The sequence below is a fragment of the Homo sapiens genome, chromosome 22 (genome assembly GCF_000001405.40).
Source record: "Homo sapiens chromosome 22, GRCh38.p14 Primary Assembly".
Taxonomy (NCBI): Eukaryota; Metazoa; Chordata; class Mammalia; order Primates; family Hominidae; genus Homo; species Homo sapiens.
The window spans coordinates 23,566,352-23,580,715 of NC_000022.11; the positions used below are offsets into that span (position 1 = coordinate 23,566,352).

The 14,364-nt window shown below is 56.1% G+C and overlaps 1 protein-coding gene and 1 long non-coding RNA gene across 7 annotated transcripts; one reads left to right on the top strand and one right to left on the bottom strand.

The window, feature by feature from the left end:
* The first annotated feature begins 618 nt into the window (after nucleotides 1–618).
* Nucleotides 619–6,747, top strand: LOC105372957 (uncharacterized). Of its 4 annotated transcripts, XR_938076.1 has the most exons (4): nucleotides 619–1,181; nucleotides 1,701–1,746; nucleotides 2,209–2,291; nucleotides 6,636–6,723. It is a non-coding gene; the product is annotated as an uncharacterized LOC105372957 (long non-coding RNA). The 4 variants fall into 4 exon arrangements; XR_938078.2 differs by having other exon boundaries at nucleotides 619–1,746; nucleotides 6,672–6,747; XR_938075.2 differs by having other exon boundaries at nucleotides 619–1,746.
* On the bottom strand, nucleotides 6,774–13,939 carry IGLL1 (immunoglobulin lambda like polypeptide 1). 3 transcript variants are annotated; one of them, NM_020070.4, is made up of 3 exons: nucleotides 13,634–13,939; nucleotides 8,616–8,731; nucleotides 6,774–7,234 (listed from the first exon to the last, which is right to left on the bottom strand). In NM_020070.4, exons 1-3 carry the CDS (start codon nucleotides 13,837–13,839, stop codon nucleotides 6,915–6,917), a joined length of 642 nt encoding a protein of 213 aa, NP_064455.1. In that variant the 5' UTR covers nucleotides 13,840–13,939; the 3' UTR covers nucleotides 6,774–6,914. The 3 variants fall into 3 exon arrangements, with proteins under 3 accessions (NP_064455.1, NP_001356835.1, NP_690594.1); NM_001369906.1 differs by having other exon boundaries at nucleotides 8,616–8,734; NM_152855.3 differs by lacking the exon at nucleotides 8,616–8,731.

Here is a 14,364-nt window from a genome sequence, read left to right on the forward strand (position 1 = left end):
AGGGGAGCGCGGGCGAGAGGGTGAGGGAGGAGGGGAGGAGGGGAGAACGGGAGAACGGGAGGAGGAGGGAGAGGCCCGAGCAGGGGGCCCGCCCCCGCCGCCCCCCTGGTCCCCGCCCCGCCGAGCGTGCCCGGCCGGGTCTGCAGCCGTCAGCGCCAAGCGCGGCCCCGCGGCTCCGCCGAGAGATCGATAACTAATTTCACCGCGGTAGCCGCCCCAGTTTTTCCCCGATAATTGCGCGCCGGCAGCTGTGAGCGAGGCCCCCAGCGCGGCGCGAAGCCCCTCCCGCGCCGATCAATTGACACCGCCACCGGGCGGCAGGAAAACTCATTTTTCTTTCTCTCCCCGGCTCCGGGTGGGCGCGAGCTGAGCTCTGCCAAGGGCCGGGGGCTGCTTGGGGCCGGGGCGGGGAGGGAGGGCAGGTCCCGGGGAGGGGGCGCGGACGCGGGTTTGGGAAAGAGGCTTGCGAGGAATCCGAGGAGGCGGGGTGCCTCAGTTTCTCCACTCTACCACAGGGGCGTGGCCGAAGGCCTCAGGGACCTGGGGTGCGGGTGGGGCAGTCCTGTCCCCTCTTAGCTGTTGGGATGGCGGACTGGCTGGTGGGAGGAAGGGCTAAGTCAGGCGCCGCGGCCTGGACGCGTGGGTTCTACTCTGGACTCACACCAGGGACCACTTTGTGACGTTGCATCCGTTCCTTCCCTTCGTCTCTTCCTCTCCGAGCCTCAGTTTCCCCATCTTCCGAAAGGGGCCTGGCATATCCTGGGCAGGCAGATGGTGGATCAGAGGTAGTGAGGTGCCTACAAGGAAATGCTCCCAACAGGGTGGCTTGGAGGAATCCTCCTTCCTCAGCACTCATGGGCCGGGCACTGTTCTAGGCCGTGGGGGTGGGGATCGAGCAGTGGCCACACTGACAAAGCCCCTACCCTTGTGGAAGTGACATTCTACTGAGGCCATGGACACGTACAGTACCCAAGTAAGCAGTGAGAAGATGGCACGGGCCACGGAGAAAAATGAAGCAAGGTTGGCAGGACAGGGCGTGCTGTGCAAAGGCAACGCAGCCCCCAGGACCCACGGTGGGCCTCGCCCCAGGCCCTCCTTGCAAAGCTCTGAACTGCTCACTCCCAAACTGCTGGTTGTTCAAGGTCATGGGAAACCTGCAGACTTGGCATTCTCCAAGGGAGGTGGGCAGGAGGAGGGAGAGCAAGAGGAAGGAGAAGCCAGGAGGTGGGGTGGGACAGTCTTCCTCTGGGAGAGTCCCTAAGAGGGCCAGAGAGAGAGAGAGAGAGAGGGCTGGGGACTGGAAGACACCAGGGGAGAGCGGGTATGGTCAGAGCTCCAATGGACACGGTGTCCTGGAGGGTCAGGTCAAGAGAGACTTGTGCTGCTGGCTGGGCTCCAGCTGGGCCAGTGAGGCCTAGAGAAGGGCAGGGACTTGCCCAAGGCCGCAGTACATATGGGGGACAGAGATGGGCTCCTAGATCCTGCCACCAGGCACAGAGAAGGGCAAGAGAGGCCAGAGAGGAAAGGAGGAAAGAGGCTCATGGAGCGGGGGCGCCAGTCTCTGTTTAGAGGGGCCAGGAGCCCCAGTGTGCTTCCCAGAGGCCAGCTAGAGCTTCCCAGGAGCACCATGGGTGGTGCTGGGACTTCTACAGGACTCAGCATGACTCAAAGGGCCCTGGGGAATGCATTCTGTTCCCCAGTCTCCCACCCTCCACCTGCCAGAATGACAGAGGCTCCCCCATGGAGGTGAGTAAGCCGGGCAGGGGTGGCGACCCAAGGCTGCTGGGGAAGTGGGGTGTTCCAGGGCGGAGCAAACCTCCTGACTCTCCCCCTGCCTCGGTTTCTTCATCTTAAAAATGGAGCTGGTGGGGCTGGGCGCCGTGGCTCATGTCTGTAATCCCAGCACTTTGGGAGGCTGAGGCAGGCGGATCACGAGGTCAAGAGATCGAGACCAGCCTGGCCAACATGGTGAAACCCCATCTCTACTAAAAAATACAAAAATTAGCAGGGCGTGGTGGCAGATGCCTGTACTCAGGAAGCTAAGGCACGAGAATCGCTTGAACCCAGGAGGCGGAGGTTTCAGTGAGCTGAGATCACACCACTGCACTCTAGCTTGGGCGACAGAGAGAGACTCTGTCTCAAAAAAAAAAAAAAAAAATGGAGCTGGTGGTGGGGTGCTGAGATTCTGTCAATCTTTCTTCCCTCCAGATTCCTGGCATGCCCAGCCCCACGTCTGGGTTGAGAGTAGTGACTCAGAAGAAAATGAAGGCTACTGCTAGCAACCAAATGAGGTTAGTGGGAGGACTGGCAGGACGCGGTGGGCTGGGATTCCGAACTGCGCATAGTTAGGTCTCACCCGCCTGTAGCCCCGTCTATCCAACCACTTAACATTTACTCATCGTTCAGCAAATATTTAGTGAAGACCACCTATGTGAGAGGCACTATGGAGGGCAGTGGGTGTAAAGTCCCCCCTCTTCCCCATCTCCTTCCTCTCCCCACAACCCCCATGTCTCCACCTTCATTTTCTTTTGAGGTATGGTCAAGGGAGGACTGGATTGGGAGTCAGGAATAGACTCAGGCCAGCTGGTGACCTAGGCAGGCCCCTTGCCTTCTCTGTGCCTTGGTGGACCAATGGTCATTAGTGGACTCTGTGTCCTTCCTGAGAGAGGAGGGCCCTGGGTTAACAGCAGCTCTGGGCCGGGGGCCTCACCCCTGGATCTCATTCAGTCCCCATGAAGTGAGATGAAGGAATGGAGACCAAGATTTCACCCAGGGTCCCATAGCCAGGAGGGGAAGAGGGCAGAGCTCAGGTCTGTCTGACCCCAGAGCCCTGCCTGCTTGTCTGAGCTGGAGGGGAAGTAGTGCCCGTCGGGAGAAACTTTCAGATCCTGGATAGATCCGGGATGTGGGGTAGGGACTAAGGTGCTCAGAGTCCCCTTGTCCTGCCCGTCAGTTAGTGGCTTTGGCCACCAGCCATCTCAGAAAGGATGTTGGTCAGAGAAGCAGCTGCCCCAGAAGGCCATGCGGGGTGACCTTGGCCTCCTCGATGTTCCCTGGGCCAGCACAGGCACAGAACGAGCCTCCTTTTGTAAAGAGACGTGCACTCACTGGGTCAGCAGTGAGGCAGGGAGGACAGCCTCACAGCTACGAGCACGGGTTTTTTAAGGCTGGTCACCAACCCAGCTCTGCTGCCTGCTAGCACTGGGCCCCTGGGCAAGCTGCCTCCTCCCCTGAGCCTCAGCCTTCCCATCTGTAAAATGGGCATAGTGGCAATTCGGTAGACCCACTGTGCTAGATCCTGTGCTGAGCCCTCTCTGTATCTGCACACTGAGCCCTGTGAGCAGCATCCCCCTCTTCTATAACCCTCGTGCTTCTAGTCCTCGCCTCAGAGTCCAGCCACGGCAGCAGTTCTGCGCCGCCTGACAGATCTCCATGCCTCCACTGCATCCAGAATGCAGCTCTGAATGCCCCATCTGGAGATGTGGGATCCTGCCCACCCAGGCCCCAGACCAAGGGACACAGTTTATGGCGAGGGAGGATCCCAGTGAGCACATGAGCGTGATGCCCACCAGTCTCACCCTGGAGCCTGGGCCTGATGGAACGTAGGGGCAGCCAGCTTGTGCTACACCCCGAGCACAGAGCCAACAGCCAGTGCCAGGTGCTGCATCCCCAGAAGCTGGAACACATGGTCCAGGGACAAGTTGTAGAAATAGGATTGCCCGGCCAGGCATGGTGGCTCATGCCTGTAATCCCAGCACTTTGGGAGGCTGAGGTGGGCAGATCACGAGGTCAGGAGATGAGACCATCTTGGCTAACACGGTGAAACCCTGTCTCTACTAAAAATACAAAAAATTAGCCGGGCGTGGTGGCGGGTGCCTGTAGTCCCAGCTACTTGGGAGGCTGAGGCAGGAGAATGGCGTGAACCCAGGAGGCGGAGCTTGCAGTGAGCCGAGATAGCACCACTGCAGTCCGGCCTGGGTGACAGAGCAAGACTCTGTCTCAAAAAAAAAAAAAAAAAAATAGGATTGCCCACTCCCCCACCCACCATGCCCCAGTGTCCTTGTGGATTTGTGCTTCTTGTCCCTGCAACTTTAGGGTTGTCAGATGAGAGGCCCCAGCTATCTGGGACAGGGGAGAGGGGAGAGGGGGCAGGGGAGAAGGGAAGTACAGGAGGGCTCCACTGGACACAGCGTGGATCTCATTGAACTCAAACCTGTGACTACATCTGTTACACTGGGGTCTTTCTGCCAAGGACCAGGACTAACATGTAAAGAAAGGGGTTTCCACTCAGGGTGGGTTCTAAGCTCTTCTCGGTCACCTTCTAGCATGAAGTCTTTGCAGGTACTGCAGATGCCAGCACCTCAAAGGGGCCTCTGATGGGTGGACCCAGTTGGTGGCAGGGGCGGGGCTGAATGCTGCCAGGTGGGCACTGTGTTGAGCAGCTCGCCTGAATGGCTTCAGACCTCTTGGCTTCACCTCCTAATCCAGGCCCAGGTGCAGTAAACAGACCTCGCAGGCTGTGACAAGCTCCATGTGGCAGAAAGCTGACAATGGCCTGCCCTAGGCCCCTGTGCTTGCCTCTCGCTTCCAGTCCGGGGCTTTGCTGATGCCACAGTGTGGGATCCCCCAACCTCCACCCCTCCACAGTAACCCACTCAGCAGTTACACACGCTCAACTGCAAGTGCAAAGGCATGAACACCCTACAGGCCAGCGTTTCCTCAAAGGCGGCAGAGCCCTGGAAGCAATGCTCTCTCCTTTCTTCCCCTTGGCGGATGGTTCTGAGATGCATTTTGTAAGGCAGCTCCGGTGATCCTGCGGGATCTGGCACCCCGGCTTCCATAATGGTGAACTCAGCAATGTACGTTTGCATTGGCTTTTTTTTTTTTTTTTTTTTTTTTTGAGACAGTCTTGCTCTGTCACCCAGGCTGGAGCGCAGTGGTGTGATCTCGGCTCACTGAAACCTCCATCTCCCAGATTCAAGTGATTCTCCTGCCTCAGCCTCCCAAGTAGCTGGGATTACAGGCACCCGCCACCACACCCGTCTAATTTTTGTATTTTTAGTAGAGACGGGATTTCGCCATGTTGGCCAGGCTGGTAATTTTTGTATCTTTAGTAGAGACGGGGTTTTGCCACGTTAGCCAGGCTGGTCTCTTAACTCCTGATCCAAGTGATCCACCTACCTCGGCCTCCCAAAGTGCTGGGATTACAGGCGGAACCACTGTGCCTGGCCTTTGCATTGGTTTTCTTGCTGCTCCTGTTTTGCTCTCCCCCTCCCCATCCCTCAGTCTTGCCTCTGGGAGTACTCGTCCCAAACAAGCTCCAAGTACAACAGCCTTTCTTTGAGGCCTGCTTGCAGGGAGCCCAAGCCAAAACAGATGTTACAGGCTGGATTGTGCTCCTCCAAATTCATACATTGAAGTCCTAACCCCAGTTCGTCAGTATGTGTCTGTATTTGGAGATAGGGTACTATGGTCTGAATGCTTGCATCCCACCAAAATTCAGGTTGCAACCTAATCTCCAATGTGATGGTATTATGAGGTGGTGGCATTGGAGAGGTGAGAGGCTCTGCCCTTACTAATAAGATTAATGTCTGTATCAGTCCATTCTTGAATTTCTGTGAAGAAACCCTGAGACCAGGTAATTTATAAAGAAAAGAGGTTTGATTGGCTCACGGGTCTGCAGGCTGTACAGGAAGCATGCTGGCATCTGCTCAGCTTCTGGGGAGGCCTCAGGAAGCTTCCAATAATGACGGAAGGTGAAGGGGGAACAGGTGTCTCACACGGCCAGAGCGGGAGCAAGAGAGAGTTGACAGGGAGGTGCCACACACTTTTAAACAACCAGATCCCACGAGAACCCACTCAGTATCAGGAAGATGGCACCAAGTCATGAGGGATCCACCACCAACCAAACACCTCCTACCAGGCCCCATCTCCAACTCTGGGGAGGCTGAGGCAGGAGAATCGGTTGAACCTGGCAGGCGGAAGTTACGGTGAGCCGAGATTGCACCATTGCACTCCAGCCTGTGCAACAGAGCCAGACTCCGTCTCAAAACAACAATAACAACAACAACAACAACAACAAAAAAAAAAAAACAGAAAAAAGAAAGAAATGATGGAGCACCTATTACCCTTCTTGCACTGGTTCCTGGGGAGCTCAGAGCCTATTTTTTGAAAGTGTCCTGATCCTCTTGCAGGCCTTTCATGTGTGTTTCCTTCCTGGCTTCCTCCTGTTTTTCTCACACCTCTGAACCTGCTGTCAGGTGAAAAATCAAGGTGGGCCCAAAATGTAAGAGCTCATGAATTTGATGGTGTTGGAGTGTCCTGGACAGTCCAGCCCTCAGGGGTGGGGAGCTGGGCAGAGAGGAAGGAGGGCATTCCAGGGGCCAGGGCTAGAAGCAGAGGGACTCCAGGCCCAGAGTAGGATTTCCAGGCTGAGGAAAGAGAGGCCGTGGGTGGGTAGAGGGTCCAGACCAGGACAGGGACACAGGGTGTATCTGGAGGCTCAGTCAGAAATAGCTCCCTCTAGAAAGTAGGCAGCGAGTCGGGGATTGAGCTGCAAGGAGGAAGGGGAGGAGGGAGAGAATGGAGGGACTGGTGTCCAGTGAGCCGACTCCTATCCTGGCCTATTTCCCCAGGGGACACCCCTGGGAGACTGTGATCCTCTCCTCCAGGCTACTTTCCCACTGGTGCCAGGATTCCCCCAACGCCACACTGAGAACCCAGGAGAAGCATCACATTATATGAGAGATAAGAAATGAAGAGAGGGAGCAGGATTTCTGGTTGACAAAGAGGGTATTTATTTAGGGTTTACTGGGTACAGGGAGAAGGGCTGGATGGCTTGGGATGCAGAGAGAGACCCTTCCCCTGGGATCCTGCAGCTCCAGGCCCCTTTGGGTGGGGTCGGGGCTGGGAACCTATGAACATTCTGCAGGGGCCACCGTCTTCTCCACGGTGCTCCCTTCGTGCATGACCTGGCAGCTGTAGCTTCTGCGGGACCTCCACTGCTCGGGCGTCAGGCTCAGGTAGCTGCTGGCCGCGTACTTGTTGTTGCTCTGTTTGGAGGGCGTGGTCATCTCCACGCCCTGGGTGATGGGGGTACCATCTGCCTTCCAGGTCACCGTCAAGATTCCCGGATAAAAGTCATTCATGAGACACACCAGTGTAGCCTTGTTGGCTTGGAGCTCCTCAGAGGACGGCGGGAACAGAGTGACCGAGGGGGTGGCCTTGGGCTGACCTGTGTGGACAGAGGAGGGGGTGAGAGATGGCAGAGGGAGTGTGGGGTGTTGTGGAGCGCCTCTCTCTGTCTAAAGTCTCTGGGAGGGTTCATGGTGTGGCCGCCTGGTCCACCCAGGGCCTCTCCTTCCCTCCTCATTCCCTCCTTTCCACTGGAGCCCTCTGGAGAGCAGACAGCCCTGTGCCTTCCTAGGAGCCCTTCCCAAGTCACCTTTCCCAGGTGTCCTGGCCCAGCCCTTTCCTCTGCAGCCTCGGTTTCCCCGTGTGCACCCAGGGCAGGCTGTGCTCCCTCCTTCCTGGTTTCTGGAGTCTGAGTTTGGAATCTAGGGGTCTCCCTCACAGCACACAAAACTATACTGGCAGGATGTGGGGAGACCCAAGCCTGGCATGGCCTGGAGCTTCCCATCCCCTGGGGCACCAGGCTGTGCCCCAGCCTGGCCCACTCAGCTCTCCTGGTGAAGCGTGGGCTCCACCCAGACACACCCTGGGGCTCTGCCGTCGCCCCTGTCCCCACCAGCCCGACCACAGGACCCTTCACATCGGCTGGGTTCTTGGGGCTGCTCCCCCAGACTTTGGGGCACCGCAGCCCCCATGCCCACCCCAGCAGCCTCTGATGCCCCTGGACTTCACCTGGCAGCCATGGAGTTCTCTGCACTCCCGTTTACTCCCCGCTAGTCACCTTCTGAGTCTAAGGTGCCCTTCCTCAAATGAAGGTGGGAGGTCGACCCATGAACAGAGAGACACCAGGCCCCAGAGATGACAGGGCTCCAGGGACAGGCACATCTCTGCACTAAGAGACCCTCTCCTTTCTGGTGACTGTCCTGGGAGGGCTGGGCTCTGGGACCTCATCCGTTCCTCTGTGTCCCCATGCCCTGAAGACCCAGCAGAGGCCACAGAGCTGCAGCCTAGACCCAGAGCCCTCTCTGTGCCCTCCATTGGTCTCCCCTGGGGGTGACCCCTGTGTCCCCAGGCCCCCGTGTGGCCCTCCCAGGCTGGATGGGCATCCAGCCCTCAGCCTAGAACCTGGGGTCCCAGGGACTGTCTCTAAGGCCACTGCAGGGCCCCTCATCAGAACCAGCCTCTGTCCCTCACTCAGACATCTGCCCTGGGAGAGGGGAGGAGCCCTGACCCCGCCCAATCCCAGCCCAGGCCCTGGGACCAGGCTGTGTCCTGCTGTTGGAACCTGAAGGCGGCTGCTCCCACTGTGGGGGCCCTTCCTGCCATTACCCTGAGACTAACACATCTCCTCCAGGCCCCATGGACAAAGGTAGGGGTCAGTGCTTAAGGCTGGGAGGGCAGAGGGGAAGAAGCCCCAGAGAGAGAAAACACATTTTCCAGAGACAGGAGAGGGTGGGACAGCCTGGGAAGTTAGAGCCACTTACTTAAAACGGTGAGCTGGGTCCCGCTGCCAAACACATGCGTCACTGAGTTATGCTTGGATTGAAACCCCCGGGGCCAGCACCTGGGGCCAGTCCAGGAGCCGCGCTGGAGCAGGAACCTGCTGGGAGTGAGGGGCACAGGGCTGCAGTGTGTAGGCTGTGACCCAGGCACAGGGTAGGGGGGTGGCCAGTGTCCCAGTAGTGTCCCCCAGTAGTGTCTCTGTGCCTGTCCCTTCTCTGAGGCAGGTGCTGCCCCAGCGTGTGTCCCCCTCTCTGAAACTGTTGGTGCTGATGGCAACGCTGGGCCCAGTAGGTCCCAGCAACTCCCTGAGTGACACATCCCCTCAGGCAGCTGTGCCGTGTGGCTGAGGAGTCCTCAGCTGGCTCGGACCTGTCCACCTCACTTGGCCTCATTTTAAGGGCCTCTGAAATCTGCCACAAGTGTCCCCAGTCAAGGAGGCTGACTTCCTCCCTGGACCAGGACATTGGGTCATTCCTGACTCAAGAGGAGAGTCCTCTGCTTTTATATCTACCCATGGAGATGCAGCTCAGTCTCACTTTGTTCATGAAGCCTTTTCTGATCATTCATTCCATCCGTCCGTCCATCCATCTGTCCATCTGTCCATCTATGCATCTGTCCATCTATTCATCTGTCTTTGCATCCATCTATCATCTGTCCATTCGTCCATCCATCTACCTGTCCGTCCATCCATAAATCCATCCTGTCTACCAGGCACTGTGTGCTGGGGACATGGTGTGGTCCCCCAGGCTCTCACCCCCATCTCTCCCAGGCCATGGTCAACAAGGCCCTCCTCATGGTCATGTCCAAGGTCCTTCTGCTGTACCTGGTGTCTCCGCTGGATGCGACACAGGGCTGGCCCCTCTTTCCAGTGACTCTTTTCCCCTTGGGGTCTGAGACTCCCCTTTCCTCTTCCCCTGGCATCTGTTTCTCCATGGCCCATGCCTGGCTGCTGACTCCCCAGACCCCACCCAGACCTCTTTCTTAGCCATTTTCACACTCTGTGACCCCCACTATTGCCCACATGGTGAGGCTGGAGTCTATCCCAGCTCCAAACCCTCTCAGCTCCTCAATTGCCTACTGACCTTGCCCAGTGGGCTACCCAACAGGAGCCTCAAACTAATCACGTCCAGAGGAGATGACCACCTTCCCCCAGCCCAGCTCATTTTCTGTCTTCATCTCATCACAATGACCATGGGCGGTCTCAACCCCTCAGCCAGAAACCTGGAGTCCCTGGACTCAGTCACCTCGCCTCCCACACTGAAATGGCTTCTGCGAACTTAGCTACTGCATCTAGACATTCTTTTTTTTTTTGAGACAGAGTCTCGCTCTGTTGCCCAGGCTGGAGTGCAGCCTGGCAACAGAGCAAGACTGTCCCAAAAAAAAAAAAAAAAAAAAAGAAGTGTCATATTGATCTCTCCCTCTCTCTCCTGCTATGTACAGTCCCATTTCCTTTTATTTTTTTGAAATGGAATTTCACCCTTGTCGCCCAGGCTGGAGTGCAATGGTGCCACCTTGGCTCACCGCAACCTCCACATCCTGGGTTCAAGCGATTCTCCTGCTTCAGCCTCCCGAGTAGCTGGGATTACAGGCATGTGCCAGCACACTTGGCTAATTTTTTGTATTTTCAGTAGAGACGGTGTTTCTCCATGTTTGTCAGGCTGGTCTCGAACTCCCGACCTCAGGTGATCTGCCCACCTTGGCCTCTCAAAGTGCTGGGATTATAGGTGTGAGCCACCACACCCCGCTCCATTTTTATACATAGCATCAATATTTCCACTTTAACTATTTTTAAACGTACAGCTCCGTGGCACTAAGTACATTCACACCGTTGGGCAACCTTCACCACCATCCATCTCCAGAACTCTTTCATCTTCCCAAACAGAAACTCTAAACCCGTTAACTACAGTCCCCCATTCTTCCCTCCCCCTCACCCTGCTAACCTCAAATCTACTTTTTGTCCAAGTGAATTTGCCTATTCTAGGTACCTCATAGAAGTGGATTCAAATGACATTTGTCCTTTTGTGTCTGGCTTATTTCACTAAGTATAATGTCTTCAGGTTTCATCCATGTTGTAGAAGATTTTTGAAATTAATTTAAAAATAATTAACATTCAAAACCTATTAAGACCTATTAAAAATAGTACAGGCTAGGTAGGGTGGCTCACGTCTGTAATCTCAGCACTTTAGGAGGCCGAGGCGGGTGGATGGCTTGAGCCCAGGGGTTCAAGACCAGCCCAGGCAACATGGCGAAACCTCATCTCTACAAAAAATTATGCCGGTGTGGTAGCGCATGCTTGTAGTCCCAGCTACTGGGGACGCTGAGGCAGGGATATTGCTTGAGCCCAGCAGTTGGAGGCCAGCCCAGGCAACATAGTGAGACCCCCATCTCTAAAAAAATAAATAAAACAAATAAATTTACAACTAAATATAAAAAGTGATACACAACCTATTTCTTAAAAACAATGAAAATATCTTTTAATAAGCTATGAATAGAAAAGTCATTTATTTGATAGGAGATATTTACCAGAATTCTACAGGAATAATCAGTCTTTTTTTTTTTTTTTTTTTTTTGAGACAGGGTCTCCTTCTGTCACCCAGGCTGGAGTGCAGTGGTGGGATCTCAGCTTACTGCATCCTCAACCTCCGAGGCTTAAGCAATCCTCTCACCAGCCTCCTAAGTAGCTGGGACCACAGGCAAGTGCCACCATGACTAGCTAGTTTTTATATGTTTTGTAGAAATGGGGTCTTGCTATGTTGCTCAGGCTGATCTCAAACTCCTGGGCTCAAACAATCCCGCCTCAGCCTCCCAAAGTTGTGGGATTACAGGCATGAGCCACTGCACCTGGCCCATAGTATTTCTAAAGATTATAAAAACTCATATTCATATCCCCCCCAGCATAATACCTTTTTTTTTTTTTGAGTGGGAGTCTCGTTCTGTCGTCCAGGCTGGAGTGCAGCGGTGCAATCTCAGCTCACTGCAACCTCCACCTCCCTGATTCAAGCGATTCTCCTGCCTCCCCTCCCGAGTAGCTGGGACTATAGGCTCGCGCCACCACGCCCAGCTAGTTTTTGTATTTTTAGTAGAGACGGAGTTTTGCCATGTTGGCCAGGATGGTCTCAATCTCCTGACCTCGTGATCTGCCCATCTTGGCGTCCTAAAGTGCTGGGATTACAGGCATGAGACACAGCACCCGGCCCATAGTATTTCTATAAGATTTCTAAAGATTCTAATATAAAAACTTACATTAATAGCCCCCCAACATAATACCATTTTTTATTATCTGTGTCTCCCTCCACCTGTCACCCGTCCCTTGTGGAGACCCCTCGGGCCTTCCCCATCCCAGTCTCTGTTCTGTAGGCATCACCCTGCATGTGGCTGTCTCCTCACCCGGCCCCCGCTCCTTGTGGACTTGAATTGGGGCAAATCTAGATCCTCTGGGACCTCAGCCCCAGCACAGAGCCTGACCCTGATGGGGACTCCTTGCTCAGAAGTCCGTGCAGGACACTGACACCCGGTCCCGGCCTGCCACCATGCTGACCCCGCCTCCATGGCCGGGCTCCTGGTGTGGGTCAGGTCGGCTGCCACTGCTGGAGCTCTCACCACAGCCACCCCAGCATCCTCTGGGTGGGTGGGACGCTGAAGGCCCTCACCAGTCAGGGCCCCTCAGATTGCAGAAGGGGAAACTCAGGCCCGGTGTGGTGTCTCATGCCTGTAATCCCAGCACTTTGGGAGGCTGAGGTGGGTGGATCACCTGAGGTCAGGAGTTTGAGACCAGCCTGGCCAACATGGTGAAACTCTGTCTTTACTAAAAAAAAATACACAAAATTAGCCAGGTGTGGTGGCAGATGCCTGTAATCCCAGCTACTCCGGAAGCTGAGGCAGGAGAATGTCTTGAACCTGGGAGACGGAGGTTTCAATGAGCCAAGATCTCGCCATTGCACTCCAGACTGGGCGACAAGAGTGAAACTCTGTGAAACTTTATTTGAAAAAGAAAAAAAAGAGAGAAAAAGGGAAACTCAGGTCCCAGAGATGCACGTGTCCGCTCGATCAGCTTAGAGGATGGGACAGGGGAGAGCTAGAGGGGATAGCTTGGGCCTTAGAATCTGTGCCCATGAGCTGAGTGACTCGGACGGGTCACCTCACCTCTCCGGGCTCTATCCCCGTCTGCACAAAGGGGATCACAGCAGGACCTGCCTATGGGGCCACCGAGAGGGAGGTTCTGCCCCTGAAATGATTATCGCCTGTGGGTATAACATGCACCAGTGAACAGGCTGTTGTGTCCCAAATGCTCATAAATGGACCCCGATGCTTGGTGCTTTGTCTGGGGACCTCCCACCACACGCAGAGTGGTGGCAATGGCTGAGGTCACACAGGGAGTTGTGGCCTCCCTAGAGCCTCTCCTGGGCTTCTTCTTTGGAGGCACTTGCACCCTGGATAAGCTTGTGTCTCCTAGGGGCTGGTTTCAGGAGGCGATGCTGGCTGAGGTCTAGTGACCCAGGGACTCCAGGAAAGGCCCCTCACACCTTAGCTGGAGCTCCAGGGAGTGGCCCCTGCCCAGTGAGGGTGGGAGTGGACAGGTGACATAGGCCAAGGGGAAAAGAGGAGGGGGGGGAGGAGGAGTGGGAGGAGGAGGAGGGAGAGGCCTGGGCATCCTTCAGGGATAGCGGCCACCACTCCTGTGGACGTCCTGCCCCTGCCTCCAGTCCTGCCCTACCCCAAGGACTAGGGGGAGGTGAGGGAGACATTGGCCTTGGTGCCAAATGTAAGTGGGGGAAGAAATCTCAGGAATCAAGATAAATAATATTTTAATATGACATTAAGCAATAAAAATTAATTCAAAGATGGACAAAATCTTGACACTTTAGTTAAAGTCAGTGTCTGTGGCTCCCCTCCAGGGATTAACCTTCCTCCTCACCCCTCTGGCTCGTCTCCCCTTGGTCATCCTTTCCCGCCTCTGCCACCCAGACCCCCACATCCCCTGGAATCTCTCACCCCTTACCTGCCCCACCGGCTCCTCAGGCTGGACCGGCTGCTTCCTCCAGGGGCTCCAGGGCCCAGGGCCCTGCTCTGCGATGCAGCTGTTGGGCGCAGCAGGCCATGGGTTACCACGGCCAGACCCAGCAGCAGCAGGGGCCAGCGCTGCCTGAGGTTGGGGCCTGGCTCACCAGGGGCCTCAAGGCCCCCCTGGCCTGTCCCTGGCCTCATCGGCCCTCAGGGTCAGAGGTCCTTGTGGCCTGACTTGCAGTGTGGGCTCCCTAGAGAGTGGTGCCCTGGTCCCTCTCGCTGGCAGCAGCTGTCCCATTGCACCCCAGTCCATGTGGCCCCATCCTCATCCTCTGGTCCCTGCCCCCAGCCAGGCCCCTTCCAGAGTCCATGACCGTTACCCCTGGGGTTCTGTCCCAGAGGCACATCTGCCAACTGCCCTGCTGTGGTCAGGATCCAGGGCTCAACTGCCTCCCACACCTGTCAGCTTGGCCTTGCCCCTGGGGCCCTGGGTGCTTTGTTTGGGGACCTCCCACCACAGGCAGAGGGTCAGCAAGAGCTGAGGTCACACAGGGAGGTGGGATGCGCCATGGCCCCCCAAGACCCTCCCTTGGGGCTTTCCTTTGGAGGCACCTGCGCCCTGGATGGGCTTGAGTCCCCTCGGGGCTGGTCCCAAGAGGTGATGCACCTGACTTCCCTCCTTCCCCACTTCCCCGAGGGCGCCCTGGGTCTGTGGAGCATCTCACT